The sequence below is a fragment of the Homo sapiens genome, chromosome 4 (assembly GCF_000001405.40).
Source record: "Homo sapiens chromosome 4, GRCh38.p14 Primary Assembly".
In the NCBI taxonomy this organism is placed as follows: domain Eukaryota; kingdom Metazoa; phylum Chordata; class Mammalia; order Primates; family Hominidae; genus Homo; species Homo sapiens.
In genome coordinates, this window is record NC_000004.12 from 114,133,020 (window position 1) to 114,154,107 (window position 21,088).

At 38.2% G+C, this 21,088-nt stretch overlaps 1 annotated feature.

Annotated features, from left to right (window-relative positions):
- Window positions 1,471-1,984: an enhancer, noted in NCBI's record as "NANOG hESC enhancer chr4:115055646-115056159 (GRCh37/hg19 assembly coordinates)". NCBI's record gives its function as "activates a minimal SCP1, AML or CMV promoter by ChIP-STARR-seq in naive H9 embryonic stem cells {active_cell/tissue: H9 hESC(naive)}" and the evidence as "EXISTENCE:reporter gene assay evidence [ECO:0000049][PMID:30033119]".

The following is a 21,088-nucleotide window of genomic DNA, read 5'->3' on the forward strand; positions in this document are numbered from 1 at the left end:
TTCCTTTTCTCTCCACAAGAGGGGCACACACTAGCTGCTTCCAGGCAGCCATCTTGGCCAATCCCTCAGAGCATCATTCTTCACTGTTTTACTTTTAAGCAGCCAATGCCATTACGTTTGAAGTGAGTTTCTTGAAGACAGCATATTGTTGAATCATTTTTAGTTATCCACTCTATCAAACATTGTTCTTGAGTCTTCTTCTTTGTTCTTGTCTTCTTGTGAGTTACTTGAGCATTTTCAGAGTTCCATTATGATTTGTTTATTTTTAAGGATATCATTTTGTTCTGTTTTCTTAATTGTTGCTCAGGATATTTTTGCTCAATATATACATAACTCATCACAACATACTGGGGTTGATATTTTACTACTTCCAATGAAGTATAGAAATCTTACTTTTATTTAGGTCTCTTTACTCTTCATAATTTTAAACATAATTGTCTTAAGCATTTTTTCTACATAAAGAACCTCATCAGATGGTGTATAACTTTTTGCTTTTACCATAAAATATAATTAAAGAAATTCATAATGTGAAAAACAGTCTATTTTATTCCTATTTCTACCTATTCTGTTATTCTTTCCTTTGTAAAGATTCTAGTCTTCTTCTGTTTTCTGTTAGAGAATATATTAACCAAGTACATATGACATTCTCAAATTTGTATGTATCAAATCACAGAACTTCAAAATATATGAAACAAAAACTGATAGAGCCAAAATAAAAAATTGAGAAATTCACAATTATAGTTGGGGAACAAAAAGAATGACTAGACAGCAAATCAGCAAGGATGTGGAAGAACCAAACAACAGTATCAACCAACAGGATACCATCATATTTAGAGAACACTAGGCCCAACAGAAGCAGAACACACTTTCCTTTCAAGTACCCATGGAACATGAACCATGAGAATGCATATGCTGGATTTAAAAAATGATTAAAAGAACTGAAGTTACATAGAGTAAGTTCACTTACATAAAGGAATCAAACTAGAAGTCAATAGCAGAAGATGAGAAAAATTGCTATATACTTGGAATGTAAACAACAATTGTAAATAATCCAGGGTCAAACAAGAAAAATATAATAAAGTAAAAATATATTTAACTGATTAAAATCAATACACAACATATTAAAGTGTGGGATGTAACTAAAGCAGTGCGAAAAATAAATTTATAACACCAAATACTTAAAATTGAAAAAGTAGAAAGACTTCAAATCAATATGATAAGTTCCTGCTTTAAGAAACTAGAAAAGAAGAGAAAAATTAACCCCTCAAAAGCAGAAGGAAGGACGTAAAAAAGATAATGACAAAAAGAAATAACACTGAAAATAGAAAATCAACAGAGAAATTGAGATTAAAAGCTGTTTTTTTAAATAAATGAAACAACACAATTTATAAACCTCTACCAAGATTGACAATGATAAAATGTTGGATTTTAAATATTTATCTTCATTTATTTTTATCCTTAATGTGCACACAAGGAGTTCTGGAACAGAGACAGATTTCTCATTAAATACCTTGTAGTAAATAAACGTATCATACTCCCTTCCCTGAATTCTTTGCCCTAGTCCTTACCCTTGTGCAACGTGATAAAAATCAGGTAAATCTTACGTGAGTAACTAGATACACCACAGGTGAGAGACAAGGCAAAATGATTTTTCACTGCTCAATAAAGGAAGAAGGCAGTGGTTTCTCTTGCTTTAGAATGTCCTCCTTACTTCAGCATATTAGCATGTAAATAAAATCGTTCCAGAAGCCATTTAGCCCATTTCTCTCAGATCTGTAGATGTCTTCAAGTTTTTGGCCTCATTTTTCCTTGAAATGTAGATAACCAGGGAGACAGTGTTCCAGAATTCCTGGCACTTTAGAGTTTAACCCAAGAACCTAGCCCAGAACAGTAATCATTGATAATATAAAAAAAAAAAGTTTTCTCTCCTTTCTGATTACTGTAATTAACAAGGCAAATAAATACAAATATTATATGAAAAAAATCATGAAGCTGATGCTTTTTGAAGTAGCATCAGGAAATCCAGGGAAATTTTATTTTCCCACATAAAATGAAAGAAGACACAAATAGTTGATATCAAGAATGAAACAGGGCATAGCAGAACAAGTTTTGCAGCCATTAAAAGCATAATAAGACATATTACAAATGATTTATGCTAATAAATTTGACAACCTAAAAGAAATAAACCAATTTATTGGAAACCACAAACTACCAACACTCAGCCAAGAAGAAATTGATAACCTAAATAGTTGTCTAACTATTAAGAAAATTGAGTTTATAATTTAAAAGCTACTGAAAAGAAAGATCAGGACCCAGGTGGTTTTAATGGAGAATTTTTACCAAACATTCAAAAAAATTAATAAAAATATGCAATATCTTCCAGAAAATAGAAGTGGAGGAAACACTTCATAACTTCCAATTTTATAAGGCTAGTATTACCTTAATAATACAGCACATACACAAAACAAGCTAAAGATCAGTATCTCTCATGAACATAGATGCAAAAATCCTCAGTAAAATTTTAGCAATCAGAAGTGACATTATGGGGAACGGCAGACTAAAAACTTCTAAAAATTCTTTCCTCTGAAGTAGCAACAAGAACACTGGCAAAAATTGTCAAAATCTACTTTTCAGAATTGTGGAAATTAACAAGGCTTGCAACCTTCTGTGGGAAATTGACTCCCAGATGTTTCACATTATATTATTTATAATGTCTATTTTTAACAAGAAAATCACAAGATATGCAAAGAAATAAGAAAGCATGGCTAATATACAGGAAAAGAAAAAAAAATAGTTAATAGAAACTAGTCCGTGGGAAACCTAAGATGATGAAGACTGAGACAAAAATTTTAAATCAGCTATCATAGAACTAACAAAGAGTATGAAAACAGGTGTCTTCTCAAAAGAAAATATCAATAAGGAGGTAATATAAGAAAAAAGAAAAGAAATTATGCAGTTGAAAAGTAGAATAAAATAAAACTTTTACTACATATTTGTAGTAATTTGAAGAGGCAGAATAAAAATCTGCCAACTGGAAGATAAGGTAATTGAAATTATTCAGTTTGAGGAACAGGAAGACTAAAAAATAAAACACCACAGACACAGAGATCTGCATAATAGCATCAAGCATACCAAAATAAGCAAAATATGAGTCCAAAAAAAGAGAAAAATGGGCAGAAGAATGTTTGAATATTATGGTTAACTGCCAAGATTTGATGAACATTAATTTGCACACACAGGAAGCTCCATGAGCTCCAAGTAGAATAAATTCAAAATGATTCATGCCTAAACACATCATAATTAAATTGTTGAAAGCTTAAAACAAAGGCAGAATCTTGAAAGCAGCAAAAGAGAAGCAACTCATCACACATAAAAAGCTTGATAAGATTAACAGCTGTTTTATAATCAGAAATCAAGGAGACCAGGAGGCAATGGGATGACATATTAAATGTGCTGAAAGTTGTGTTGGTTACATGAAGCTACACATGTGATTAAATTCCAGATAGCTACACACACACACACACACACACACACACACACACACACACACACATATATATAACTAGCATATATATGTATATATATATAACTAGCATATATATTTATTCATATATATGAATAAACTAGGATTTGTACCAATGCCAATTTTCTGGTTTTGATATCATACTGTAGTCATCCAAGATGAGGAAGGCTGCGTGAATGATGCATGGGACATTCCTATGATTTTTTTTTTTGCAATTTGACATGAACTTATATGTATTCCAAAGTAAAAACTTTTTAAAAATATAACTATTAAACTTATGAGTATCAAGTAAAATATTACTATTAAACAAAATTCTCAAAGTTCCTGTAACAGTAATAATGAAAACATGAGTATTGTAATTTTACTTTTCTATTTCCCAATGCAGTGTGTGTCACCTCAACCTGATATCAACCTCCTAGTTGCATTCCTGAATCGGTGCTAGAATTGTAGTGTGACCTTTGGCAAGCCATTAAGTTTATAAACTTTTAAGAATCTTCATCTACTTCTAACAAGTGGATTTAATATATGACATTAGACAACATGTGTTTTAGTCTTTTGAAAGGAAAGTGGCATTTTATTTAAAAAAACAAGACAGTCAAAAATTTTTCTAATTCAAATTAAATTTATAGTTCCATTAGAAAAAGCAAACAATGTATACATAAAATAAAGATTTTCATGAATTTCTGTATCTTAATGATGTTGGCCTACTTCATTTTATATATTGAATACATTTCAAATCTGTGGCTCCCAATAATCTTAGTTATCTATCTTTTGTTAATATTTTTTATATGCTCATTGAATTCACAGGATTGCTTTTATCCCTAGAAACTTCCCTCTGCCCTCTAAGTTTCTGTTTCATTTTCAACGTATGATGTCTAGTTTTAGAATATTCTGGAGTACTCTTCTCACGTTAGAATATTTAAATGTCATGTTAAATTAAAAAGCTTTTGATATCATTGATTGGTCTCTTACCCATCAATAGCAAGGCAAGTCACAAGAATAACTGCAGTTTCTGCCACTGTCATGGACAGCATTTGATTTGCTGTGTCTTGAGGAAAGTTTGATTTATATTGAGATTTGACAAAATATTTGATTGCTTTTGGAGATTTGGGTAATTCCTTCATCGATTTGCATTGTCAAGCCACGAGAATGCCATGAACTGTTCTTGTTTACATAATTTCCTTCTATGGATAACAAATCCAATATGAAAAAATATCCTGTAAGTCCTAGGCTCATGCCTTCTCCCTTGTAATGTCAGGAATTCTTTTCCTTCCTCATATAAACCTGAGCTTTAGACTATCAGTTGCTCAGAAATCTTGATGAAATGGGTGCTATGAATAAGTCAAATTTAAGAGTTTCAGGATTAGAAAAAGAAAAGACAAAAAGCCAGAAGTGACTACCTTTAGAATTCCAATGAAGAAAACCCAATATAAGCTGTATATTTCCCCGAGGAAAGTCTTCAAGCAAAAGTTTTATTTTGCATTTTTTAGAATTTTTGTCTGTTTCTGATTTAATCTATTTCTCTGACCACATCAGATAATCAGCACAATGATACAGTCATTTCTGGTGAATATACAATCCAGACTTAGAACAAGATCCAGAAGTTTTAATAAATGGTCCTTACAGGAAACCAATTATGGGGGAGTCTGTGGTTTGAATCTAGTTTCAGGGAGCACAAGGGTTTGTTTCACCTTAAACAAAGATAGCCTTTCATGCACAGAATAATTCTGAAAAGCAAGAAGACTGTATTTTCAGTAGGATGTATGTGAAATGTGGCTCCTTATGAAAGAAAATATTTGCGATGCATTTTTTCCACCAGGATGACATTTTGTACAGCTTACAATTCCATTCACTAATGGTGTAAACAAAAATTTTTAAGTGCCACTATGAGGGCTTAGTGCTATATTGTTTATAAAACGTGTTAAATTTTAGACTTCGTTTTCATTAGATGTCTTATCACTACTATGCAACCTGAGATCTATAAGACTGACAATAACGTACATTTACCAAGGTGTTTTTCCTCGTCTTATGACTCCTGTCTTTTCTCCATCCTTACCAAGAGGTAGCCGCCGAACTGAATTCTATTTTAACAGAACACAGCTTTAAAAAGTTTCATCATACATTCATACATAGCTTTAAAAAGTTTCATCATACATTCATACATACATTTAAGCCTAACATTATATGGTTTTGTTAGGTGTTTTAAAACAATAAAAATTTTTTAAAGGTAGAAGTAATGGAAATACCTATTAGCATGATGTTTATAGTAGAATTTTTAGGTTAGAGAAAAGAAGTTTTCTTGTTTTCCCGGTTTACTAATTTTTTTTTTTTTTTTTGAGAGGGAATCTAGCTCTGTTGCCCAGGCTGGAGTGCAATGGCGCGATCTCGGCTCACTGCAACCTCTGCCTCCCGGGGTCAACCTCTGCCTCCCTGTCTCCTGCCTCAGCCTCCCGAGTAGCTGGGACTACAGACGTGTGCCATCATACCTGGCTAATGTTTTGTAATTTTAGTAGAGACGGGGTTTCACTATGTTAGCCAGGATGGTCTCGATCTCCTGACCTCATGATCTGCCCACCTCAGCCTCCCAAAGTGCTGGGATTACAGGCGTGAGCCACTGCACCTAGCTACTAATAATTTTTATCAAGAATTTGTGCTACATTTTATCAAATTTTTTGTATAGACTTTCTATTCTTTTTCTCTTTCTATTGAGATGATCAATGAAGAATGGCATTTATATACGAAATGTTAACCTATCCTAATATTGACCCATCCTTACATCGTTCCATTGCTGGGATAAACCTATCTGGTCGTATGTGATCTGTTTTACATGATATGAGAGAGAGAGAGAGACATTCATAAGGAAAGCCTATAATTGTTTTTGTGTACGTGTTGTATTATTATTTTAAAGGTTTGAGATATAGTCTATTTTTCAATTGTCCAGAGGAGTTTCTAGTAGATTACAATGGTCTATTCCATGAAAATTTGGTAGAACCCACTTGTAAATCATTTGAGACTCTTATTTTCTTTATAATTTTAAACTATGGTTTCAAATATAGGAGTTTTTGCATTATTATTTTTTAAGAGTCTGTTTTGGTAAGTTACATTTTTCAAGAATTTGTCAAAAGTAACTAAATTTTAAAATTAATTATAAAGTTGATATTTATCATTTTTATTACATTTGTAATATCTGCTTTATCTGCAGTAATCTCTCCCACACCTTAATCAAAATATCATTTACATATAATCTCCTTTTTTCTTTATCAATATTTTTAGAGGTTTAACGTTTCATTTATCTTTTCAATAGCCAATGTTTCTTTTTTAAGCCTCTTTTTGCTTTTTATTTTACTAGTATCTATTATGTTTATTATTTTTACTTTTCTTGTCTTAAATTTAGTTTTTTATTTCAATAGGTTTTTGGGGAACAGGTGGTGTTTGGTTATATGAATAATAAGTTCTTAGCGATGATTTCTGAGACTTTGGTGCACTCATCACCCAAGCAGTGTACACTGTACCTAGTGTGTAGTCTTTTATCCCTCATCCCACTCCCACCTTTTCTTCCAAGTCCCCAAAGTCCATTGTATCATTCTTAATGCCTTTGTATCCTCATAGCTCAACTTCCACTTATGAGTGAGAACACAGCATGTTTGGGTTTTCATTCCTGAGTTACTTCACTTAGAGAATAATAGACTCCAACTCCATCTAGGTTGCTGCAAATGCCATTATTATTATTATTATTATTTTCGTCATGGCTGAGTAGTGTTCCATACACACACACACACACACACACACACACACACCACATTTTCTTTATCCACTCTTGTTGATTGATGGGCATTGGGCTGGTTCCACATTTTTCAATTGTGAATTGTGCTGCTATAAACGTGCATATGCAAGTATCTTTTTAATATAAGGACTTCTTTTCCTCTGGGTAGATACCTTTTTGATTATGGCCATTGTTGCAGGAGTAAAGTGGTATCACATTGTGGTTTTGATTTGCATTTCCCTTATCATTAGTGATGTTGAGAATTTTTCCATATACTTGTTGGCCATTTGTATACTTTCTTTTGAGAATTTTCTATTCATATCCTTAGCCCACTTTTTGATGGGATTGTTTTGTTCTTGCTGATTTGTTGGAGTTCCTTGTACATTCTGGATATCAGTCCTTTGGTGGATGTGTAGATTATGAAGATATTCTCCCACTCTGTGGGTTGTCTGTTTACCCTTCTGATTATTTATTTTGATGTGCAGAAGCTTTTTTTTTTTTTTGAGGCGGAGTCTCGCTCTGTCACCCAGGCTGGAGTGCAGTGTCGCGATCTCAGCTCACTGCAAGCTCCGCCTCCTGGGTTCACGCCATTCTCCTGCCTCAGCCTCCGGAGTAGCTGGGACTACAGGCGCCCACCACCACGCCCGGCTAATTTTGTTGTATTTTTAGTAGAGACGGGGTTTCACTGTGTTAACCAGGATGGTCTTGATCTCCTGACCTCGTGATCCACTCGCCTCAGCCTCCCAAAGTGCTGGGATTACAGGCGTGAGCCACAGCACCTGGCTAGAAGCTTTTTATTAATAATTTAAGTAAGTCCCATTTATTTATCTTTGTTTTTGTTGCATTTGCTTTTGGGTTCTTGTTCATGAAGTCTTTGCCTAATCCAATGTCTAGAAGGATTTTTCCAATGTTATTTTCTAGAATTTGTATGGTTTTAGGTTTTAAAGTTCTTGATACATCTTGAGTTAATTTTCACATAATATGAGAGATGAGGATCCAGTTTCATTCTTCTACATGTGGCTTGCCAATTATCCCAGCACCATTTGTTGAATAGGGTGTCTTTCCTCACTTTATATTTTTGTTTGACTATTTTTATACCAGTACCATGCTGTTTTGGTGACTATAGTCTTACAGTATAATTTGAAGTTGGGTAATGTGTTGCTCCCAGATTTGCTCTTTTTGCTTAGTCTTACTTTGGCTATGCAGGCTCTTTTTTGGTTCCACTTGAATTTTTTTATTGTTTTTTTTCTAGTTCTGTGAAGAATGATGGTAGTATATTACTGGGAAGTACATTGAATTTTTAGATTGCTTTTGGCAGTATAGTTATTTTCACAATATTGATTCTACCTATTCATGAGCCTGGAATGTGCTTTCATTTGTTTGTGTCATCTATGATTTCTTTCAGCAGTGTTGTGTAGTTTTCCTTGTAGAGGTCTTTCAGCTCCTTGGTTAGGTATATTCCTAAGTATTTTGTTTTATTTTATTCTTTTGCAGCTATTGTAAAAGGGATTGAGTTACTGACTTGATTCTCAGCTTGGTCACAGTTGGTGTATAGCAGAGCTACTGATTTGTGTGCATTAACTTTGTATCCTGAAACTTCGCTGAATTCATATACCAGTCCTAGAAGCTTTTTAGATGAGTCTTTAGGGTTTTCTAGGTATACAATCATATCATCAGCAAACAATGACAATTTGACTTTCTCTTTACCAATTTGGATGCCTGTGATTTCTTTCTCTTTTCTGATTGCCCTGGCTAGGACTTCCAGGACTACGTTGAATAGAAGTGGTGAAAGTGGGTATCCTTGTCTTGCTCCAGTTCTCAGGGGAAATGCTTTTAACTTTTCCCCATTTAGTATAATGTTCCCTGTGGGTTTGTCATAGATGGCTTTATTACATTAAGATATGTCCCTTCTATGTTGATTTTGCTGAGGGTTTTAATGATAAAGAGATGTTGGATTTTGTCAGATGCTTTTCCTGCATCTATTGAGATGATCATGTGATTTTTGTTTTTAATTCTCTTTATGTGGTGTATCACATTTATTGACTTGCAGATGTTAAACCATTCCTACATCCCTGGTATGAAACCCATTTGATGATGATGGATTATCTTTTTGATATGCTGTGGAATTCAATTAGCTAGTATTTTGTTGGGGACTTTTGCATCTATGTTCATCAGGAATATTGGTCTGTTGTTTTCTTTTTTTGTTATGTTCTTTCCTGGTTTTGGTATTGGGTTGATACTGGTTTCATAGAATGATTTAGGGAGGATTCCCTCTTAGTCTATCCTGTGGAATAGTGTCAATAGGATTTGTACTAACTTGTCTTTGAATGTGTGATAGAATTCAGCTTTGAATCTATCTGGTCCTGGCTTTCTATTTGCTAGTGATTTTTAAATTACCATTTCAATCTCACTGCTTGTTATTAGTCTGTTCAGAGTTTCTACGCCTTTCTGGTTTAATCTAGGAGGGTTGTATATTTCTAGAAATTTATTCGTGTGCTCTAGGTTTCCTAGTTTATGTGCATAATGGTGTTCATAGTAGCCTTGAATAATTTTTTTGTAGTTTTATGGTATCAGTAGTAATATCTCTCATTTGTTTCAAATTGAAATTATTTAGATATTCTCCCTTTTTTCTTGGTTAATCTCACTAATGGCCTATCAATTTTGTTTATCTTTTCAAAAAGAGAGCTTTTTGTTTTATTTATCTTTTGTAATTTTTTTGTTACAATTTCATTTAGTTCTGCTCTGAATTTCGTTATTTCTTTTCTTCTGCTGGATTTGGATTTGATTTGTTCTTGTTTCTCCAGTTCTGTGATTTGTGAGCTTAGAATGTCTATTTGTGCTCTTTCAGACTTTTTGTTGTAAACATTTAATGCTATAAACTTTTCTCTTAGAACTGCTTTTGCTCTATCCCAGAGGTTTTGATAGGTTGGGTCACTATTATCATTCCGTTTATAGAATTTTAAAATTTCCATCTGGATTTCATTGTTGACCCAATGATCATTTAAGAGCAGGTTATTTAGTTTCCTTGTATTTGCATGGCTTTCAGGGTTTCTTTTGGAGTAGATTTTCAATTTTATTCAGTTGTTATCTGAGACAGTACTTCATATAATTTCAATTTTATTGAATTTACTGAGACTTTTTTTTTGCCTGTAATATGGTCTATCTTGAAGAATGTTCCATGTGCTGATGAATAGAATGTATATTTTGCAGTTGCTAGGTAGAATGTTCTGTAAATATCTGTTAAGTTCATTTGTGGTAGGTTATGATTTAAGTCCATTCTGTCTTGATGACCCGTCTAGTGCTGTCAGTGGAGTATTGAAGTTCCCCATTATTATTGTATTGCCATCTATTTTATTTCTTAAGTCTATTAGTAATTGTTTCATAGAGTTGGGAGCTCCAGTGTTAGGTAAATATATATTTAGAATTGTGATATTTTCCTGTTGGCCTAGTCCTTTTATCATTATATTATGTCTATCTTTGCCTTTTTTAACTGCTGCTGCCTTAAAGTTTGTCTGATATAAGAGGCTGCTTCATCTCCAACCACGGCAAAAATTGGCCAAGGTACAGCTCAGGCCATTGCTTCAGAGTCTGCAAGCCCCAAGCCTTGGTGGGTTCCAAGTGGTATTGAGTCTGTGGGTACCCAGAAGTCAAGAATTGAGGTTTGGAAACCTCCACATAGATTTCATAGGATGTATGGAAATGCCTGGGTGTCCAGGCAGAAGTTTGCTGCAGGGGTGGGGCCGTCATGGAGAATCTCTATTAGGGCAGTGTGGGAGGAAAATGTGGAATCCAAGCCCCCACACAGAGTACCCACTGAGGCACTGCCTAATGGAACTGTGAAAAGAGAGTCATTGTCTTCCAGAACACTAGAATGGTACATCCACCAACAGCTTGCACTGTGCGCCTGGAAAAGACACAGGCACTCAATACCAGCCCATGAAAGCAGTGGAGAGTGGGGCTGTACCCTGCAAAGCCAGAGAGGTGGAGTTGCCCAAGACCATGGGAGCCCACCTGTTGCATCAGCATGATGTGGATGTGAGACATGAAGTCAAAGGGGATAATTTGGGAAATTTTAGTTTTAATGACTGCCCTACTGGATTTCAGTCTTGCATGGGGCTTGTAGCCCCTTTGTTTTGGCCAATTTCTCCCACTTGGAACAAGTGTATTTACCCAATGCCTGTATCCCCATTGTATCTAGGCAGTAACTTGCTGTTGATTTTACAGGCTCATAGGTGGAAGGGACTTGTCTTGTGTTAGATGGGACTTTGGACTTGGACTTTTGAGTTAATATTGGAATGAGCTAAGATTTGGGGGGGCTGTTGGAGAGGCATAATTGTGTTTTGAAATGTGAGGACATATGATTTGGGAAGGACCAGGGACCAAATGATATGATTTGGCTCTGTCCCCACCCAAATCTCATCTTGAATTATAGTTCCCATAATCCCCACGTGTCATGGGAGGGAACTGGTGGGAAGTAATTGAATCATGGGGACAGTTACCCCATGCTGTTCTTGTGATAGTGAGTGAGTTTTCTTGAGATATGATGATTTTATAAGGGACTACCCCTTTGCTCATTTCTCATTCTTCTTCTTCCTGCTGCCATGTGAAGACATGTTTTCCTGATGCCTCCCTAACCCTGTAGAACTGTGAGTCAATTAAACCTTTTTCCTTTATGAATTACCCAGTCTTGGGCAGTTCTCAATAGCAGCATTCGAATGGACTAAAAAGTCTGAATGGAGATACACCATCAGCTCACATAGGTATCCAGGTCATAGGCTGTATAGCTTGACATTTCTTAGCTTCCATAATCATGTAATCAAATTTCTTATTATCTGTCTATCATCTATCTATCTATCTATCTATCTATCTATCTATCTATCTATCTATGTATCTATCTATCATCTTTGTCCTATTTTTTCTGTTTGGAGAATTCTAACACAAATTTCGGTAGAGAGAGAGTTTCAGAGAAACAGAATTTTCCAAGTTGGTTCTGGGATTTCTGGAATTTGCTGTTTAATCTGATTAGATTTGAAGACCCTAATTACCTTATTTCAAGTAGTAAAGAGCACACAGATGTACATGACTTGATATAGCAATAGAGAGACACAAAATATTACTATTGAATATTCTTAATCCATAATATAAGAAGCAGGGATCTGGGGGACTGTGTATATGATACTTTTGAACATTTTTTTGCAAATTAATTTATATAATGAGATTAAATGGTTGCTTCTATTGTTGCTGGACAAAGTGGGGATAGAAAAGGATGAACGCAGGGGCTTAAATTTCAGCCCAAGGGCCACATGAATCACCTTATATGTGCCCTCAAGGAGACCCATATCTCCTTTAGCATGACTGGAATTGCCAAAAATTAAACACAGAATCTCATTTTCCAATTGGCTTAATTATAGTTCAGTTGAACTCCCAGACCGACAGAATATCTACTGTTTATGTGAGGACTAGGAAGGAATGAAACCTTGACTAGGAAGGAATGAAACCTTAAAATTTGGAATGGGGACATGTGGGAAAACCTTGATGAAGGATCTTGGGGACATTGAGTTTGATTTCGGGAAGGCTGTTAAATGTTCAAGGTTTAAAAAACTTGTTATTATGAAATAGAATTCCAGATTACCGTAAGTTATTTTGCCAAAATAAAGACTCAGAAATTTTAAGGTAGAAAAACCTTCTATAACCCTTTACAAATTTGGCCATAGAGCAGACTAGCACCTTAGGAAAACCTTGTTTGCTTTATTTCAATGCTCAATTTACAGAAAAACCGGATAATACCCTTTTTTGAATTTAGTCAATATGTTTACACTGAGAACCTCTTCTGCAAGATTAATTTCCACAATTCTTCCGCCACTTCTTTGAACCTTCAGCTTTTTCCTAATGTAACTCAAAATTATCCTTTAACCCTAGGCAGAAGTTTACCTTTACATGACTTCTTATAACCTTTTACTGAAAAACACATTTTACTGTGCTTATACACCTTGCATGTAAATCTATTTTCAGTAGTTTCATGGTAACTCCTAGCAATTTTTAACTTTAAGGTAAAACCTGGTAAGTTGCTTTAATTTTGTTCTAAGTGTAGCCAAGGTTTGTCTTCTTAATTAAGGGTGTGGTTAGTTCCATATGTCCCCAGGCCCTACCAATTGTGAAACAGGCAAAACAGACAATTTTCAAAACCCAAAAAGCAGTTTGTAACCTTAAAATATGTAGCAAACCTTGCATCTGACCTGCATTTTACCAATAAACTTTAAGACTGTTTTTACTTTCAAAGATTAAAGTCACATGAACAAAAAGGTACTACAGCTTTTAACTTTCCTTAAAAAAATGCTTGATCCAAGCACTTGTCTCACTTTGTCACCCAGGCTGGAGTGCAGTGGCATGATCTCGGCTCACTGCAACCTCTGCCTCCTGGGTTCAAGCAATTATCCTGCCTCAGCCTCCTGAGTAGCTGTGACTACAGGTGCATGCCACCATGCCCAGCTAATTTTATGTATTTTAGTAGAGATGGGGTTTCACCATGTTGCCCAGGCTGGTCTTGAACTCTTGAACTCAGGCAATCCACCCTCCTTGGCCTCCCAAAGTGCTTGGATTACAGGCATGTGCCACTATGCCCAGCTGCACTTGTCTTTCTTTAGGCCAAATTAATTAGAACTCTTCTTACAGACATCACACACAGTATACACACAAACGAGCAGAAGAAAACCCAGTTGCTGGTTGGGTCCCTTTAAGAGACAGGCTAGGAAAACATGCAGATATTCAACCAGAGAGGGCTTAACCCTAAGGCAGGATTGCTAAATAAAGTTTTCCCAAGCTCCCAAGCGGTTACTGGCCATGCCCCCAGGATGTAAAACAAGATGGAGGTTTGCAGCACAAACCATACAGAAATGCAAAGCGCACCAAATTGGCCACAGCCGAAGGTTAGCCCCACAAATCCTTTTTCACAATTAAACCTTTAAAGAGAATAAGTTAACTGCTGTTGGAGTTGAGAAGAGGAAAGAAAAAAGTTTAAAAATGCCTGGGGGAGAACTTCTTATTCTTATGCAAGTGCTTCCTCCAACAGGGAGATAAATTTAATTCCTGTGGGTCAGAGCTGGCCTCCCTGGAGCGAAGAGGAAGACACTCCATGGGCACGAGGCAGAAACTGCCAGTCAGCTACTCAAGGCAACTTGGGCCATGCGTCCCAGCCCAGCAGGGAGGGGAGGGCGGTGGGGAGCCGCTGCTTACTGGACCCTCTGGAAAAAGGAAGCAAAGGGCTGTGTCCGGAATTGGTGGGTTCTTGGTCTCACTGACTTCAAACATGAAGCCGCGGACCCTCACAGTGAGTGTTACAGTTCTTAAAGGCGGCGTGTCCGGAGCTTCTTCCTTCTGATGTTCGGATGTGTTCGGAGTTTCTTCCTTCCGTTGGGTTCATGATCTTGCTGGCTCAGGAGTGAAGCTGCAGACCTTCGCGGTGAGTGTTACATCTTTTAAGGCTGCGCGTCTGGAGTTGTTTGTTCCTCCTGGTGGGTTCGTGGTCTCACTGGCTTCCGGAGTGAAGCTGCAGACCTTCACGGTGAGTGTTATAGCTCATAAAAGCAGTGTGGACCCAAAGAGTTAGCAGCAGCAAGATTTATTGCAAAGAGCAAAAGAACAAAGCTTCCACAGTGTGGAAAGGGACCCGAGCAGGTTGCCACTGCTTGCTTTGGCAGCCTGCTTTTATTCTCTTATCTGGCCCCACCCACATCCTGCTCACTGGTCCATTTTACAGAGAGCCAATTGGTCTGTTTTACAGAGAGCTGATTGGTCCGTTTTGACAGGGTGCTGATTGGTGCATTTACAATCCCTGAGTTAGACACAAAAGTTCTCCATGTCTCCACTAGATTAGCTAGATACAGAGTGTCTATTGGTGCATTCACAAACCCTGAGCTAGACACAGGGTGCTGATTGGTGTGTTTACAAACCTTGAGCTAGATGCAGAGTGCTGATTGGTGTATTTACAATCCCTTAGCTAGACATAAAGGTTCTCCAAGTCCCCACCAGATTAACTAGATACAGAGTGTCGATTGGTGCATTCACAAACCTTGAGCTAGACACAGGGTGCTGATTGGTGTGTTTACAAAGCTTAAGCTAGATACAGAGTGCTGATTGGTGTATTTACAATCCCTTAGCTAGACATAAAGATTCTCCAAGTCCCCACCAGACTCAGGAGGCCCGCTGGCTTCACCCAGTGGATCCTGCACTGGGGCCGCAGGTGGAGCTGCCTGCCAGTCCCTTGCCATGTGCCCGCACTCCTCAGCCCTTGGGTGGTCAATGGGACTGGGCACCCTGGAGCAGGGGGCAGTGCTCGTCAGGGAGGCTCCGGCCGCCGCACAGGAGCCCACGGCAGGGTGTGGGGGAGGCTCAGGCATGGTGGGCTGCAGGTCCCAAGCCCTGCCCTGTGGGGAGGCAGCTAAGGCCCGGAGAGAAGTCGAGCACAGCAGCTGCTGGCCCAGGTGCTAAGCCCCTCACTGCCTGGGGCTGGTGGGCCGGCCGGCCGCTCCGAGTGTGGGGCCCTTGGAGCCCACACCCACCTGAACTCGCACCCACCGGAACTCGCACTGGCCCGCAAGCTCTGCGCGCAGCCCAGGTTCCCGCCCACGCCTCTCCCTCCACACCTCCTCGCAAGCTGAGGGAGCCAGCTCAGGCCTTGGCCAGCCCAGAAAAGGGCTCCCACAGTGCAGCGGTGGGCTGATGGGCTCCTCTAGCACGGCCAGAGTGGGCGCCAAGGCCGAGGAGGCGCCCAGAGTGAGCCAGGGCTGTGACGGCTGCCAGCACACTGTCACCTCTCAGGGCTATTGAAAGGTCGGGTTGGTTCCTGACCCCTGGGAGCAACAGGGGGTGGGGGCATAGTTTCCCCTACCCTTAGGAATCCCAGCATGAAAAGGCTTAGAAGTGACAAAGAGAGGTTTTGAGTCTCCATTTCATTCACCATTTCTTGAGCCCCCACATTGCACAGAAAAAATGTTGCTGGACTTTTCCTTAGTTCAGCTAAATATGGGGTCCTTATCCGTCCCACAGACATGAAAATTTAGGCTCACAGACAATTTGAATGGTGAGTAAGACAGGGTTTTATTTATTTACTTATTTATTTTGAGTTTTTAAATTATTATTATTATTATACTTTAAGTTTTAGGGTACATGTGCACAATGTGCAGGTTAGTTACATGTGTATACATGTGCCATGCTGGCATGCTGCACCCATTAACTCATCATTTAGCATTAGGTATATCTCCTAATGCTATCCCTCCCCCCTCCCCCCACCCCACAACAGTCCCCAGAGTGTGATGTTCCCCTTCCTGTGTCCATGTGATCTCATTGTTCAATTCCCATCTATGAGTGAGAACATGTGGTGTTTGGTTTTTTGTCCTTGCGATAGTTTACTGAGAATGATGATTTCCAGTTTCATCCATGTCCCTACAAAGGACATGAACTCATCATTTTTTATGGCTGCATAGTATTCCATGGTGTATATGTGCCACATTTTCTTAATCCAGTCTATCATTGTTGGACATTTGGCTTGGTTCCAAGTCATTGCTATTGTGAATAGTGCCACAATAAACATACGTGTGCATGTGTCTTTATAGCAGCATGATTTATAGTCCTTTGGGTATATACCCAGTAATGGGATGGCTGGGTCAAATGGTATTTCTATTTCTAGATCCCTGAGGAATCGCCACACTGACTTCCACAATGGTTGAACTAGTTTACAGTCCCACCAACAGTGTAAAAGTGTTCCTATTTCTCCACATCCTCTCCAGCACCTGTTGTTTCCTGACTTTTTAATGATTGCCATTCTAACTGGTGTGAGATGGTATCTCATTGTGGTTTTGATTTGCATTTCTCTGATGGCCAGTGATGATGAGCATTTTTTCATGTGTCTTTTGCCTGCATAAATGTCTTCTTTTGAGAAGTGTCTGTTCATATCCTTTGCCCCCTTTTTGATGGGGTTGTTTGTTTTTTTCTTGTAAATTTGTTTGAGTTCATTGTAGATTCTGGATATTAGCCCTTTGTCAGATGAGTAGGTTGTGAAAATTTTCTCCCATTTTGTAGGTTGCCTGCTCACTCTGATGGTAGTTTCTTTTGCTGTGCAGAAGCTCTTTAGTTTAATTAGATCCCATTTGTCAATTTTGGCTTTTGTTGCCATTGCTTTTTGTATTTTAGACATGAAGTCCTTGCCCATGCCTATGTCCTGAATGGTAATGCCTAGGTTTTCTTCTAGGTTTTTTATGGTTTCAGGTCTAACATTTAAGTCTTTAATACATCTTGAATTAATTTTTGTATAAAGTGTAAGGAAGGGATCCAGTTTCAGCTTTCTACATATGGCTAGCCAGTTTTCCCAGCACCATTTATTAAATAGGGAATCCTTTCCCCATTGCTTGTTTTTCTCAGGTTTGTCAAAGATCAGATAGTTGTAGATATGTGGCATTATTTCTGAGGGCTCTATTCTGTTCCATTGGTCTATATCTCTGTTTTGGTACCAGTACCATGCTGTTTTGGTTACTGTAGCCTTGTAGTATAGTTTGAAGTCAGGTAGCGTGATGCCTCCAGCTTTGTTCTTTTGGCTTAGGATTGACTTGGCGATGTGGGTTCTTTTTTGGTTCCATATGAACTTTAAAGTAGTTTTTTCCAATTCTGTGAAGAAAGTCATTGGTAGCTTGATGGGGATGGCATTGAATCTATAAATTACCTTGGGCAGTATGGCCATTTTCACGATATTGATTCTTCCTACCCATGAGCATGGAATGTTCTTCCATTTGTTTGTATCCTCTTTTATTTCATTGAGCAGTAGTTTGTAATTCTCCTTGAAGAGGTCCTTCACGTCCCTTGTAAGTTGGATTCCTAAGTATTTTATTCTCTTTGAAGCAATTGTGAATGGGGGTTCACTCATGAGTTGGCTCTCTGTTTGTCTGTTATTGGTGTATAAGAATGCTTATGATTTTTGTACATTGATTTTGTATCCTGAGACTGCTGAAGTTGCTTATCAGCTTAAGGAGATTTTGGGCTGAGACAATGGGGTTTTCTAGATATACAATCATGTCGTCTGCAAACAGGGACGATTTGACTTCCTCTTTTTCTAATTGAATACCCTTTATTTCCTTCTCCTGCCTAATTGCCCTGGCCAGAACTTCCAACACTATGTTGAATAGGAGTGGTGAGAGAGGGCATCCCTGTCTTGTGCCAGTTTTCAAAGGGAATGTTTCCAGTTTTTGCCCATTGAGTATGATATTGGCTGTGGGTTTGTCATAGATAGCTCTTATTATTTTGAGATATGTCCCATCAATACCTAATTTATTGAGAGTTTTTAGCATGAAGGGTTGTTGAATTTTGTTAAAGGCCTTTTCTGCATCTATTGAGATAATCATGTGGTTTTTGGAGTAAGACAGGGTTTTAACGGGTGAAAAGGAAGAAAAGGGGGAAAAAGACTCTCGCAAGGCCGGAGTTCCTCCCCTAGAGTGCTTCCCACCCACCATTTAATTCCCAGGTTCCTCAGAGGAAGAGGAAGGGCCTGACTCCTCCCTGCCGAAAAGGACATGAACTTCTGTGGCTCCACCCCAGTGCGCAGACTGGTTGGAATTTTTCCACGGAGCCCCTCCAACCTGGCTGTCTCACTATCATGGCATCTCTTGAATAGCCTTACAAAATAACACTAAGTCTCCCCAGGACCCACCCCCATTACCCCATGTGCTTTTAGACCTGTAACTACACACAAGTCCCAGAAGGTCCCTAAAAGTGGGGTACAAAGTGTGACCCATGAGGAAGTACATTACATCCCAAAAGATCTACTTGAGTTTTAAGATTTATACAGACAGAAATCTGGGAAACCTGTGTGAAAATGGATGTCAGTAGTGTGAGACAATGGTGGAAGAAACAAAAAGTTGCATCAGGCTGAATTTATTAATGTGGGCTAATTAAGCAACAGTTCTGGATTTAATGTTGCAGTTCAGGTAGTTAAAAAGGACTTCAACAATTTATTTGTTTGGTTGGGGACCAAAAGGTGGCCCACAGTGAGTGGGTTGGAAATGCTGAATCTGCCCTGTTCTAATGTAGAAAAAGGGATTCAAAACCTTTAAAAGATTAAAATGTCAGAATGGATTCGTGATTTAAAACATACTCACCCAGCCTGAAAGGGTCTAGAAGACATACCTTTCATTAATACCGTGGGAAATAAATTTGTAAGGGGAGCCTGAAATCCTTAAAGAGCTCTGTGATTGCTCTTTTCTGTAGGCCATAGCTTACAGAGGGAATTGCAGGTACTGATCTGGGGTATCTAAATGCATTGGGGGTACCTATTCTGGGGTAGCAAGGGTCAAGTGCTGAAACTCAACCTGCAAAGGCAGTGTGTTAATGTAATGAACAGCAGAGTCAAAGCAGCAATCAATATAGTTCAATTTACACAGAACTGTGTATGATGTTGGCTAGTTAATCATGTTATTCCTAGAATTTAAATAGGAAGCCTACCAAATCCTTACTTCATCTGTAGAAGCAGCAAATTCCTAGTTAAGTGACCATGAGTCTAACCTGAGTCAAAAAATTAGAGTTGAGAGTCACAGATCCTCAATGAATTTCCAGACTTGAGCCAGTTTAAAGACCCAGAACAACTTGAATGAACTGGAATCTGAGGCTTCTTGAAGAAAGACCCCCCCCGCCAAACTTTTACTGTTAATCTTTCTCCCAGACTTCCACAGAAGGACCTACAGTCTTTTACTGGAGTAATTGTGTACCGAGGAAAGGAAAATTATCAGACCTTTTGGGAACTACTGGATCTGAACTGACACTAATTTCAGAGACCCAAGACATTAGTGTGGTCTACCAGTTACAGTGGGGGCTTTTGAAGGTCAGGTGCTCAATGGAGTTTTAGATCAGGTCTGTCTTATAGTAACCTAGTGGGTCACTAAACCCATCCTTTGGTTATTTCTCTGGTTCTAGAATGCATAATTGGAATAGATAGGTTCAGCAGCTGGAGGAATACCCACACTGGCTCACTGACATGTGAAATAAAGGCTATTTTGGTGGGAAAGGCCAAATGGAAGCCACTAGAACTGCCTCTACATACGAAAATAGTAAACCACAGACAATACTATACTCCTAGAGGGATTGCAGAGATTAGTGCCACTATCAACAACTTGAAAGATGCAAAAGGTGGTAGTTCAACCACATTTCCATGTAAGTTGCCTATTTGGCCTGCAGAACAGACATATGGATCTTGGAGAATGCTAACGGATTATTGTAAGCTTAACCAGGTAGTGACTCAAATTGAAGCTGCTGTACCAGATGTAGTTTTATTGCTTGAACAAATGAGCACTTCTCCTGGTACCTCATATGCAGCTATTAATCTGGCAAATGCCTTTTTCTCCATCTCAGTCCGTAGAGACTTTCAGAATCAGTTTGCAGCAACTGGCAAGGCCAGTAGCATTCATTCACCATCCTACCTCAGGATTATGTCAACTCTTCTGCCTTACATCATAATTTAGTTTGCAGGGATTTTGATTGCCTTCTCTTCCACCAGATAACACAATGGTATGTTATATTGATGATATTATGCTAATTGGACTTAGTGAGTAAGAAGTGGCAACCATTTTAGACTCATTGGTAAGACATTTGTGAAGATAGAGTAAGAAACATATTCAACCAAGATCAGGGGCCTTCTACTTCAGTGAAATTTCTGGAGGTCCAGTGATGTGGAGCAGGTAGAGATACCCCTTCTAAAAAAAGTTATTGAATTTGGCTCCTCCTACAACCAGAAAAAGTGGTACAATGCTTAGAGGGCTTCTAGA